Genomic DNA, 13653 nt, shown 5'->3' with positions numbered 1-13653 from the left:
TGGTGTTTTGTGACTATATTAGGATTTGGGCTATAGGATGACAGGGAGGAAAGATTTAATAAATGGGTTTATAGAGTGTTAAGCCCGGGTGACCTTGAGAACAATGGTTTTATTAGTGGAAATATGAAAGACATAAGGGAGAACTGACTTCTTTATTCAGTTCATTTGTAATAATGTTTATTGCGTTGAACTACCTATGTGGAAATGGCCAGCTGGCACTTGGAGATAGACTACTTAGAGGGGCTAGGAGTAAAAAGAAGAAAGTGTTGAAGTGTTTCTTATAGTATATAGTTTACTTTCTCGTGGAGACAGGAGAAGGAAGTGCAGAAGGCTTAGAAGTAAACTTTGGGAAATACTCATATATTTAGCAGAATGGAAAAGGGGTCACAATCCTTAAGAGGGTGTGTCAAGGAAGACACACCATGCTAATATGCCAAAAAGACCAAAAGAAAATAAGCCTCAAGGAAGGCCTAATCAATAGTATTGCTCTCCCCAGAGAAATCATAATATGGGTACAAAATGATGTTAAATTTGAAGATATTTATTTTGGTAATATTTTTCTTTTGATGAAAATCTAGAGCTGATTTTTCAGAATCACTTTTATATAATAATTTTTTTTTCATTTTATGTAATAATCTGATCTACTGATTTTTATCAAGTCAGGTCCAGCAGTTTCCTTTTTTATGTTGGCATAAGTTAAAGAATTTTCAAGATTAAAACAGCCATGCAATAACTATTTTAAAGTAATTTGATAACACCTGAACTGTTGGAATTTGGATTTTTTTTTTTTTTTAGACGGAGTCTTGCTCTGTCACCAGGCTGGAGTGCAGTGGCACAATCTCAGCTCACTGCAACCTCCGCCTCCTGGCACAATCTCATCTCACTGCAACCTCCGCCTCCCGGGTTCAGGTGATTTCCTGCCTGCCTCAGCCTCCCAAGTAGCTGGGACTACATGCGAGCGCCACCACACCCAGCTAATTTTTGTGTTTTTAGTAGAGACAGGGCTTCACCATGTTGACCAGGATCCAACACTTATTTCAAATATACATCTGAGTCTTTTTTGTATCTAGTTTACATATTTTTCCCTAGGTTGGCAAGCTCTAATCTAAAAGTTTTTTTAATACATAAGGAAGGACTTCTTAAGGGTTATTCTTAGCATAAATTCCATTTATCACCTCTTTTCATTCTTGGTATATGAGTCCATTTCATAAGATTATTTTAGGGTATTTTAAAAGTTGCATACATAATTTAAAATTTTGGAGTATTTCCTAGGTAAGATGCTTTCTTCTAATGAACGGTGTGCTTAAAAAAAAAAAAAAAAAAAAAAGAACAAGACATACTGACCCTGCTAATAGAATTGAAATAACTCTAGAAGAGGATGGTTCTGCCTAAGATAGCCCATATTTTTTAACCTTCCTACTTTGTGTTAAGGTTTTCTAGAAGCATATACTTCTCATATTCACTCTCTGTATATTCTTCATGATTGATATAATTGAGATCCTGAATTTTAGTATGCATTCTGCTTTTAATATACTTCATCTCCAGATTTGTCCAGTTTTTTTCAACATACCTTTCAGAACCTCAGATGGTAGGATTTTAGAACTGGATTCTAGTGATCATTTATCTCCATCATTCCACAGAGATTAGGTGATTTACCTATTACTGATGGAGAGATGTCTTGGGTCTTCGACCTCATTCCTCTGTCTAATCATTCATCTTTCTGCTTCAGGAAAATTATGTTAGTTGTGTATAGTACCTTCCCTCAAAAAAGGTATTAGTATTCTTTCCTTAATGAGTCCTCATCAGAGCTCTTAGCTCATAAGTTTTTGTATCATTTAATTTCTTTAAAGTTTAGTATAAATCTCTAAATGCCTAACAAGTTTATACTACTCATTTATTGGTAGTATTTATAGAATTCTTTAGTCAGTATGAGAATTTTCAAATAAGGGAGTCATTATTTTAACACATCTGATCCTCCCATCTCCTCCTTTTAAAAATAAAACAAAATACAATAATTGCTGAATATACTTTTATTTTCTTTTTACTCCTCTTATTCTTTTTGAAGTTTTCACAGTTACTGGTAAATACTGTCTCATAGATTATCTCAGCTAAACCTTATTGATATTTAATGTCTATGAGCTTTATGTGGTCTTTATTTCTATATATCCAAAAGAATGCATAACAAGCATACTTGATTTTATTAGAGGAATAGTTCATCTAAAATGCACTTATTTTGATAATTTCTCATTACTTATTAGTTTCACTCTATTTCTAATTATTTTACTACAACTGCAGTAAGTGCTAGCTAGCATAAGCTATATGTAGTATTAAATTTTATGTTGACACATTTTCTTGATACGCAGTGCATTTAATTTTATGATAGGCTTATATACCTTTCATTTGGTGAGAGAGGGTATTTTCTTTTCGTTTTTGAAGATAAACCTTACTGCTTTCTAGTAGATGTGAATATTCAAATAGTGCCTTCATTTAAAATTTTGTCTTTGAGAATTCTTACTCATAAATACTTTGACCCTTGTTTAAAAAGATAAAATTCTTTTCTTTTGATTGGCTTACTTAATCGTACCATACATTTTAAAACCAGTTAGGCTATTTTTAGTTAATATAGAGAAAGTAAAATATTTTCCTGTTTTATATCATCAACTGTTTGGAAGCCTGGTCTGGAAAACCTAGTCTGCAGTTTATAGATATGGGTGTTTATTGTCTGAGGATCTATTAATAAATAGAGAGTTGGTCTTTTAATTGATGAAGTTAGAGGCACCTTTTCTAACTGGTTCATGAGTAAAGCAGATTCTTTTAATGCCTCCTTTAGTAAACAAATGGTTAATCCAAATAATATCCTTTTCTTTTTTCTGATATGATTGAAATATACTTTCATTTTCTCCATATAAAAGTCACTTTGGAGTTAAACAGATGCCTTATACCAAGAAAATTAATACTGTCTTGCCATATTCACAATGAAATGTGTTATATAGGACACACAGGCATCTTAAATATGATTGCTATTTTTTCTTTGCTCTTTTAGAGCTTTATAAGCTTCAACTGTCCCCAAGATTATTTCAGAGATCTACTAACTGTAAATGTGGCAACATTGATAAATAATAGGGTCAAGGGTTGATCAGTCCTACTTGCCCCGCAACCCTCACCCCCAAAAAGAAAAAATGTTTGTTTAAACAACACATGAAGGATACCATGCTTAGGAACATTTATCAGATTTCCTTTGAAATTGCTAAATTGGACTACTTTCAAGTCTCCACTCTACTTCAAATTGTAATCTTAGACTTGTAATTATACTTCTGGAAACATTTATTAGAGTAGATTTATAAAGTAGTTGCTTTTTTGTTCTCTCTCTTGGCTTCTGTGAAATTTTGAGTGAACTGAGTTAAAAAAAAATCATTTAACAACACATGGCTAAGGCAGTTTCAATCCCCTAATTTTTAGTTTTTGATATAAAAGTCTATTTAGAGGTGTACTTTGTTCATGTGGTTGCTTATTTATAACAGTTCATGTAACTTTTTTTTTTATTTGCCTAGGAAAACACTGAAAAATAAAGACTTGAATCCTGAATTTGTACTTATAGTCTTTCATTTTTGGCAAATGCCTAGCTGTATGGCTCCTGGTGCCCTTATGGTAATCTGGAGAAATAGTTATATTCTTTCTTGTTTTTGAATTGTTTTAAAGTAGACTTGGAATCAGTTACCTTCTTCTCCTATCTTATCATCCTCCAACTTTCTTCACACTCGAGATATAATCCTGTTTCACTTATGATTCATTTCCTTTCTTTTCTAAGTTTTTGTGTATATTAAACATTAGATAATTTTCCTAGTTTTATCTAATATGGTTACATTTTTTAAAAAGTTATTCTTTCTTTTCTATTATTGTAACCATCCAAAAGAGCATTAATAAGCACTGTTGCACACATTTCTTCTTTTTAGCAAGCCAAAGGAAAAAGCTAGCTTTCTTTTTGAGGCAGTCCCATTTGTGGTATTGTATTAACTTCTTAGGTAAAGTCCTTTCTTTTATAGAAATATTTTCTCTTTTTACCAAAATGCAAACCTTCCTTGAGAAATCAGTTATTCTTCTTCTGAATTTTAACTTCTGCATTTGGTGAACTGTACATCCATCCTTATGCCACATTTTTAATACTAAAGAAAGAAAGTTACTACCTTTCTCTTTTCCAAGCATTTCCTGGGATATTACTAATAAAGCTCAATTTGTTCTAGATCAGTGGATACCGGAACAGAAAGGAGGTATTTCTTACCTGATAATGTGTGTGTGTTCCGATTCTGCTAATCCAGAAATCCAACAGCATTTGTTGAAAATCATCCTTAGTTGTTATTTGTTAGGGAGTCAACTCCCTATTTTAGTTGTTTCTGAAATTCAGTCCCTAGATGTGCTTTAGATAGGGTAGAATTTTTACCTCTTTCAGAACACTGCTAAAGAAGTTTTCAACTGGAACATAGTCTGAAGAAGCACTGAGAGCAAAAAATTCAGAGTGGTGATTGGCCACCTCTGTTTGATTGACAGGTTGCAGGGAGGAAACCCATTCGTTCTGGATTAATGGAACTGGAAAACAGAAAACAATTATCAGGTAAAAAAAACCTTTTCTTTAACCTTTGAAATTCACCATTTAAAAGACGAGTCAGACTACCAGGGAATTTATTACCAAAAATAATAAAATCTAGTGTCATTTGAGCAATGATCTCTGGCTACTACTTCCAAGAATTACCAAAAAATCCGTACAGTTGCTACATGTCAGCTTTTGCAGAAAGGGCATGATTGAACGGAGATAGATGGAGTGTAAGACATAATTATGTGTTAAATCTGAGTTTAAAACATGAAGCAGAATTCTATGGGTGGGGGAGTTGGTATTCTTTTATTTCCTGAATTGTGTTTGGTCTGTGGATAGAATACTTTATTTTTCAAGGCTATTAATCTGGCACTTTTCATGAATATTCATAAATTTTATTACTGTACAATGCTTGTTTTACTTAATCTTCACTTCATTAGGATGTATGCTTTTATCTTAAAATTATTGTAATAATAGTGACCAATTCTTTTCATTTTAATGGTAGTTTTCTTACTGTTGGTTAAATATATTTCAGATTGAAGGCCAAGGACATGGCGCAGTATTTGACTGCAAATGCTCTCCTGATGGTCAGCATTTTGCATGCACAGACTCTCATGGACATCTTTTAATTTTTGGCTTTGGGTCCAGTAGCAAATATGACAAGGTAGAGTATGATGACTATATATCATGTCCTTATTTTTTTTTAATGCATGTTTAGGGGTTGTATGTTTTTGGAGTGGGTGAGAATCAGCATCTTTACATTCAGGATAAAATTCGAAGAATCTTGTGTTAAGTAGTCTGGAGACTTAGTTTCGGAAAGGAAGGTGAAGACAGCAGTTAAATCTCACTTTAATAGGGCTTATTATTTGAAAATCTGCATATTTCAGGAAAAAAATAACTCTTAGCCTCCTGGGGCAATCTAGATTGGAATTCTTAACTTGGGGTATATAAACTGGAGATGGAAGATGTTATCCATAGTGGGACTCTGAAATTATGTAAAATGTTTTTTTAATATAGATAATACGTACTTATCTAGGGTACAAATCTGTGGCTTTCATGTGGCTCTTAAAAATGTATTATATTACCTGATTGTAGTTAATGTTTTTTATTAAAGATCCTGTCCAGTTTTTGGGGGGCTTTTTTTTACAGAGTAGGGGTGAAATGTCTCACTATGTTGCCTAGACTGGCTTTGAATTCGTGGGCTCAAACAATCCTCTCATTTCAGCCTGCTAAATAACTGCAGGTGGCACTACAGGCATATGCCCTGCCACTTTGCTCAGCAGTTAAAGACCCCAACTTTAAGATTAGTGACTAAAAGAATTAAATTGCTTACTTGTGGTGGAATGGTATAAAAGGTTATGATAGTAAATATTGAGTAGTTTATAATTTAGTTTAAAAAATTGCAAATTAACCAGTGAAATTTTATATAATAAAATTTATGTCCTGGTTGAGTTTATATTAATAATTTTATATCATCTCAAAACATTTAGAGAAAATGCTTATTAACCCTTAGAAAATCTTATGTGATTTTTATAGTAATATTACACAAATCATACTTACTGTATACCTAAGGATTTAAGATAAAGCATGGTAGCTCTGTGGAAGTAAAAATACTGTTGAATGATTTATGACTAGATTTGATGTTACCATTTAATTTAAAATTGAATATTGAATAGCTTATTTTTAGTGGTAGCTTTTCTACACAGTAGCCTCCTCTTATCCACAGGGAATATGTTCCATGACTCCAAATGGATGTCTAAAACCTTGGAAAGTACCAAACCCTATTCACACTGTGTTTTTCCTATACAGTAATGGGTGGGTAGCATATCTAGACAATGTGGATATGCTGGACAAAGGGATGATTTGTGTCCCAAGTGAGATGGCACGTGATTTCATTATGCATTTTGGAACAGTGCACAGTTAAACTTATGAGTTGTTTATTTCTGGAACAGCATTTTTGGAGTCAGGTTGACCACAGGTAACTGAAACCATGGAAAGCAAAATTGCAAATAAGAGGGGACTCCTGTGTATAATCCCTTACTTGTTTCAGAGAAAATTTAAAGCAGCTACTTTTCTGATCATAATACTTAAGGTAGAAAATTAAAATACCTATTTACAATTAATTCAGGAAAATAATATTTTAAAAATTGTTGCTTAATACCATTATTCGTATTCAGGTGTTTGCTTTCTATTAGAAATGATGTAGACTTTTTTTCTACAATGATACATTTTTATTTTTCCAGTCTTTTATGGACTTTTCTTTTTGCAGATAGCAGATCAGATGTTCTTTCATAGTGATTATCGGCCACTTATTCGTGATGCCAACAATTTTGTATTAGATGAACAGACTCAGCAAGCACCTCATCTTATGCCTCCCCCTTTTTTGGTTGATGTTGATGGTAACCCTCATCCATCAAGATATCAAAGATTAGTTCCTGGCCGTGAAAATTGCAGGGAGGAGCAACTCATCCCTCAGATGGGAGTAACTTCCTCAGGTAGGTGCTCATTTTCTTAGACAATCAAATTTTCTTCTTCCCACCGAACTGTTAAAATTGCTAATTGAGTAAAACTTTGTTTGCAGTTGTTAAGTGGATAAGAAGTAAAAGTATGTTTTATACTTTTATACAGGTCTTTGATCATGCTTAAGGATTACAAGTTAATTATGGAACATGGGCGATTTACAGTAATAATTTTGATTTATTATCCATTTGTAACCCCTAGGGATCAATAAGGTAGTTCCTGTATTTGGTGTGAAACAAGTGAATTAATTTACTTACTCAGCAACATTTATTGATAATCTCTTCTGTCTCTGACACCTGCTAAGCCATGGCTATTCAGTAGTGGATTAAACAAACATGATCCTTGCTTTCATGGAATGGGTTAGTAGATTAATAAACACAGTTCATTAGAATAAACAAATACATAGTTCAAATTGTGATGAATGTTACTAAAGGGAATAATAGCATGATGTGAGAGAGATTGTAGATTGCCTGTTCACATTGAAGATGTTTTAAAAAGTTACCAACTTTTAAAGGTTTATAAGAGGATTGACATGGAAAGTGTTGAGAGCTGTTTTAGTGAAGTATAATGGAGTGTTGAAGAATTAAATGAGAGTTAAAATGGAGTCAAAGTCTACAAACTGCTTTCCCTCTTTTGACAAGAAATGCAGCACTAGTGTATTAAGTAAAAATAAGGAAAGGTTCTGTAAAGAAGGTTAAACCAGTTTTGTCATTATGAATACTTCTACTATATTTTTAGACTAGAAAAATATTTATGAAAATATTTTAAGTTCTAGACTTCAATCGACAAAAGCTTCTAAGTAGCTTTTGTGTTGAGTGACTTTTAAATAATGAAATTAGATTCTGTAAGGAGCACAGAAAAAATCAACCTCAAACGTGCATCTTATTTTTCTTAAAGGATTTAGCATGAAGTTGCAATAAAGATGGACATACTGGATAGAAGGGGCTCCTCTTGGAATTAGACACGTCCACTTAGAATGGAGGGTGAGAAGAAGCATTAGAGGAATCATTCCTGCTGCTACTCCTAGAGTAGTGCAGTCCAGTGGACTTATCTGGAGTTTGTGAGATTAATGTGTCTCAGTACGTGGACACAGCATGAACTCAAAGAATAAGTAGTATTCGAGAAGTATGGACAGATACTCAGACTCAGATTAGATAAGTTTCAGTATTAGAGAAGTTCTGGTCATAGGACTGAAATTAAGAGAAATGTCTTCAGTCTCTCGGAGAGGAATTGGCAAAATCAGATTGTTCCCAAGCCTCAAAATAGATAGCTACTTTAGGGTTTCAGACACAGGGAAATAAGGAAAAGACTCATTTATTAAAGTATCAGTGCTAATTAATTATTATTATTACTTTTTAAATCCATTTACCAATTTATAAAGGGCTTTCATAAACAATATTTAATCCTGTATCTTTGATATTCCAGTCCTGCAGGTTGAGAGAATTCAAAATTTAATGGTAATGTGTCATAGAATCACAGGGACTCTAACCTCAGCTCTGATTCTCAGTCCATTATTCTTTCTTCCATATAAAATAGGCATAATCTTAAAAATGAAATAGATACCAGTTGTTGGTATCCATAAGAGAATCCATAGCAATAATACTGGCTTTGTAATGAGTCCCAAAATTTTTCAGTGTTCTGATTCTCAGAATTCAGAGTAAAAATCTTTTTTTGTCATATTTTAGACTTATTGAGTCTAAAATTGGTTAATACAAAAACAGAACAAAAGCAAAATTCTTTTCAAAAAAAACCTTAGCTTTTTATTTGCAAATCCAGATAATAAAATTTATTCTGGGAAATCTCTCAGAGTTAGGGAAAAATAGATTTGAGTTATTATAATAATAAATTAGCTTGTTGTATTGGCACCATACAACATACTTTAAATGTGTTTTTTTCAGTTGTAAACTTGAGCTATATCAGATTATTCATCAGTATTGCAACATGGTTTTCCAACAGCAAACCAGGAAAGAAGTATAAGACATTTGAACTTTTACTTCTGTCTGCTTTTACTACTTCTACTTTGGTGACCTTAAACAAGTTATTTTATCCTATTGAATTTTAGTTTTCTTTTATAAATGAAATTATGCATGTAATACATGTAATTTCTTTTTCCTTTTACCTTTCTTACTACTACTTCATTTCAGAATATTCTTGCTCTCTTTTCTTACCATTTAAGCCCACCCTAAAATTCTGAGCTGATCAGATCTTCTCATATACTTGTATGGCTGATACTAATTGCTCCCTTCTTTATACTCATGGCAATATTTTTCATATATTTTATAATATACCTTTTAAAAATTTATTCAGCAAGAGTGAATATTTTTTAATGCCTAGCATTGTACTAGATTTAGATAAGGTAAGTGAGACAGTTCATGCTTTTGAGGAACTAATGGGTTTGGACTTCATTTATGTTTTATATTGGTCTGAATACTTAGATATGTATGGGTTGTTTAAGGAAGTGAAAGAGGGTAGCAGGTAATTCTTTCAGAAGTAATTGGAAAGATTTCACAGAGGAAATGTCATGGAATTGCCATTTTAGTTGGTGCTGGAATGGTAAGTTAAGAGATTGTCATGTTTATCTTTATAGTGGGAATATTGTGTTCAAAAGTTTCAGTGCATGAAGGTGTTTACTTTTTAGAAGGGCAGAAGTCAAGTGGTCCTCTATGACAAGTAAGAATTAATGCTGGAAAACTTGGATGGATTAAAATACAAGTTTCTCCCTGCTTCACAGCGTTTGTACCTCTTGCGTTCTACCTGAAGTGTTCCTTATCTAGATCTTTATGTGGCTATCTAATTTAAATCTCAGCGCAAATGCTACCTTGTCCGAGAGGACTTCTCTGATTTTTCTGACCCACCATCACCTTCTTTATTTCAACACCTCTCTTTCATACTCTGTATTAACTCCTGGGTTATTGTTTACTTTCCCCATCAGTATGTCAGCTCCCTAAAGAGTAGGGATCTTCATGTCCCTTATTTACCACTAGATCTCAGTACCTGGCGTAGTTCCTAACATATAGTAGACAGTCAATAATGTATTGAATAAATGAGGCAGTAAACATTTTTTTTAAGAAAATGGGTAATCAGATGTGTCATTTTAAAAGAAACCATGATCTAAGTGGAAAACCTTACTATTGCCACTTATTAGATATGTGACTTCGAACAGTTATTTTGGTTTTCTCATCTATAAAGTGGAGTTGTTTATACATACCTAATGGAGTTACCATACGGATTATGAGTATCTGAGTCATGATAAACACTTAGTAAAAGTTAGCAACCATCCTCATCGTTATTTTTGATAAACTAAGATGGACAGATGTTTTCTTTCCTTTTTTTTTTTAACTCCCATCATTTATAGTTGATCATTTAAGTCTTTTACCCAAGCAACATTTATGTTTAATTCTGAACTCATAAGTGAGGTTGGTGAGTAAAATGGTTTGAATAGTAGCTAAAATATTCGTAATATTTTGTGTGGTATTGTATAGGACTGAATCAAGTTTTAAGTCAGCAAGCAAACCAGGAGATCAGCCCACTGGACAGCATGATTCAAAGACTACAACAGGAGCAAGACCTGAGACGTTCTGGTGAAGCAGTTATCAGTAATACCAGCCGTTTAAGTAGAGGTAAGCAGGTATTCTATTTTAAGTGAAATATTTAAAAATTTGAAACAGCCTAAATCTCCCACAGTGTTAAGTGGTTTAAAAAAATTATGGTACATCCGTAAAATGAAATATTAGGTTGCCAAAATGATCATGGTTTTGAAGAATATTTAATGACCTAAGAAAATGGTTCATAATGAGATTTCAAGTTAGAGATAATGAGTTTTTAAATGTGTATGTCTTCCACATTTTCTATAGTAAACATGTAGAATAGTCAAAGCCACATTCTTGAACATCTCATCACCCTTATTGTTGTATATTATTAAACTTTAAGAGTCAAAACAAATTTATGAACCATTAATACTCTTGGGTTTGTCTAGTTTGCTTCTTATGAAGTTTTCTCAAAAATACTTAGCATTTTTTTAAAGTAATGATTTTGTATCCTTGGGGCTTAATAGTCTATAGTTATGATTCATTGACTTATCTAATCAACTGAATAACCATGTTTTGTTTTCATTAAACCACTTTTGCCTGTGGTTTAGTTCCTGATATGGTAATTTAATTATTTTGCCACAATATGAAGTTTCTTATGGAAGATAGTGTTTTATCTCTTTTTTCTGTTATAAACTAATGGAGAAATATCTCTAAGTAGAACTTAATATAGTAACTTTTTCACTTAGGCTCCATAAGTTCTACCTCAGAGGTTCATTCACCACCAAACGTAGGACTAAGACGTAGTGGACAAATTGAAGGTGTACGGCAAATGCACAGCAACGCACCAAGAAGTGAAATAGCCACAGAGCGGGATCTGGTAGCTTGGAGTCGAAGGGTGGTAGTACCCGAGCTATCAGCTGGTGTAGCCAGGTAAGGGAAGTTGTGAATTTTTATGTACCATAGTTCCTTGGGTTCATTTTGGAGTTAACAGCATTCACAGCTGTTATTTTCAGCTCTGTAATTCCTCTGAAATTTTTCTGGAAGGGCAGTATAAACTATTCATGACTGTAGAAAAATTAAGTTTCTAAAATATATTTATTTCTAGAATGATTTATGTAAATGATAAGAATGATACGTGTTAAGGTCAACAGGAAAATCATAAATTTGGATTGACCAAATAGGAGGTTTTATTGAGTAGCATATTTCAGTCTTGGTTTGTCCTGTTTAACTATATCTTAAAATACATTTTATAAAGTTTGTTGTAATTATTTAATTTTTTAATGGATTTAGCCAGCCATTCACATGATATTCAGATGCAAAAAAAAAATAAATTGGAAAATACAAAAAGATTTTATATATATTAAAATATTTATATTTAAAAGTATACATTTATGACTTTAAAAGTATTGATTTAATAAAATTCTATTCTCTTAGACCATGCCATGAGGGAAGTTTATATCCAGTTCCTTTTGATCTTCAGTCATGAAATACTCATGAATGAGGCCTATATGAACTTAAGTAAGGCTGATTTCTGTGTATGAAGTGTGTTCTAAGTATGAAGGTCAAAATGTGAATTTGAATTTAAGATTGTCTAGTTCTTCAACTCAGAAGATAGTAATTACATAATTAAAATTTTGGTCTTAATGTTCATATAGATTATGCTTTTTGATTGGACATACTTTGAATTTATGTTAGGATTTAGAATTAAATACACACCAAAGGTATACATTTACACTTTCTTATGACAAATATGCCCAGTTATCCGTCATAAATTAATTAACTCACATGGCATATTTTTAGTTAGATTCTTGTTTACTTTTTAATTCTAATGTTAAGGTTTGAAAGGGGTCAAATAAATAATGCCCATTTTTTCAACACCAATTCTGAAATAATTGAAAAATAACATGGAGAATAAGACATAGTAAATCAGCCTATCACTGTTTGTTACTATCACTTTTTATTTCGTGAAATAAAACCCATATCAGTAACAAAAAGTAATATTCCACAAAAACCATATCAGTAACAAAAAGTAATATTCACCAGACACAGATAGCAGTGGGCCACAGTTTTTCTCCCCTTGTGGGACAGGACATGTGGTTTGCTTCTTTAAGATGCAGGGCCAAATGTATAATTGCACACAATGGCATAAGGCTGGGCTGTGCTAAGCTGGGTTTTTCTTCCAGAGCATATCAGTTGACTAATTTACTCCTCCTCTGGAGAGGAATGAGTCAGGAGATAAGGTTGCTAGTTGTAGGTTGAGGCTCCTGCACATGGAAGGGAACCTGAGGAGTGAGGAAGATTTATTTCTCTTCAAATATTCTTCATCCTTTTATTCCTTTATCATTGGGCTTAACTATTCATTGGCCTATGGTCAAGCAAGACTGTGGCCATAACTTTAACAGATATTCTTTCTTTGGGCTTCCTGGAGCTTTGTCTCTAAAACTTTGTACTCATCCTATGGGAATCTTCCTAAGAATCTCTCCAGTGGGTAGTCTAAAGTTTCCTTTTAAAAAGGCTCTCTGAAATGGGTCAGCCTCATCCATTAATTAAAATGGAATCCAATGACATACCCAACAGGGGGCTAAGTAACATAGAAATAATTCTCATAACTCAATAGTAAACAACAGAATCCAACCGGAGAATGGGCAAAAGACATGAACAGACATTTACCAAAGAGGATCTATAGATGACAAATAAGCACATGAAAAGATAATCAATGTCATTAACCACTAGGGAAATACAAGTTGAAACCACAGTGAAATATCACTGCATTCTTCTCAGAATGGTTAAAATAAAAAATAAGTGACAGCACCAAATGCTAGAGAGGATGTAGAGAAAACTGAATTACTCATGCATTGCTAGTGGGAATGTAAAATGATAGAGCCATTTTGGGAAACAGTTTTGCACTTTCCTAAAATCCTAAACATGGAACTGCCTGTCATATGACCCAGCAGTTGCACTATTGGGAATTTATCCTAAAGAAATGAAAACTCATGTTCACACAAAAACCTGAAC

The 13653-nt window shown here is 33.0% G+C and overlaps 1 protein-coding gene and 1 long non-coding RNA gene across 5 annotated transcripts in view; one reads left to right on the top strand and one right to left on the bottom strand.

The window, feature by feature from the left end:
• Positions 1-5130, bottom strand: part of LOC124901346 (uncharacterized) — a 73415-nt gene extending 68285 nt beyond the window's left edge. Inside the window, exon 1 of the long non-coding RNA XR_007059652.1 lies at positions 4280-5130. This is a non-coding gene — a long non-coding RNA (uncharacterized LOC124901346). The remainder of the gene's footprint in view (positions 1-4279) is intronic.
• The window catches only part of PHIP (PHIP subunit of CUL4-Ring ligase complex), a 143836-nt gene that overhangs the window by 69273 nt on the left and 60910 nt on the right, over positions 1-13653 (top strand). For all 4 annotated transcript variants that reach the window (XM_005248729.6, NM_017934.7, XM_011535918.4 and 1 more), the window contains 4 exons: positions 5124-5252; positions 6858-7083; positions 10591-10728; positions 11385-11568. In XM_005248729.6, coding sequence (XP_005248786.1) covers positions 5124-5252; positions 6858-7083; positions 10591-10728; positions 11385-11568 — 677 coding nt within the window. The remainder of the gene's footprint in view (positions 1-5123; positions 5253-6857; positions 7084-10590; positions 10729-11384; positions 11569-13653) is intronic.

The sequence above is a fragment of the Homo sapiens genome, chromosome 6 (genome assembly GCF_000001405.40).
Source record: "Homo sapiens chromosome 6, GRCh38.p14 Primary Assembly".
Taxonomy (NCBI): Eukaryota; Metazoa; Chordata; class Mammalia; order Primates; family Hominidae; genus Homo; species Homo sapiens.
Note: the sequence above shows the minus strand (reverse complement) of the source record. Positions and strands in the feature narration are given on the sequence as shown.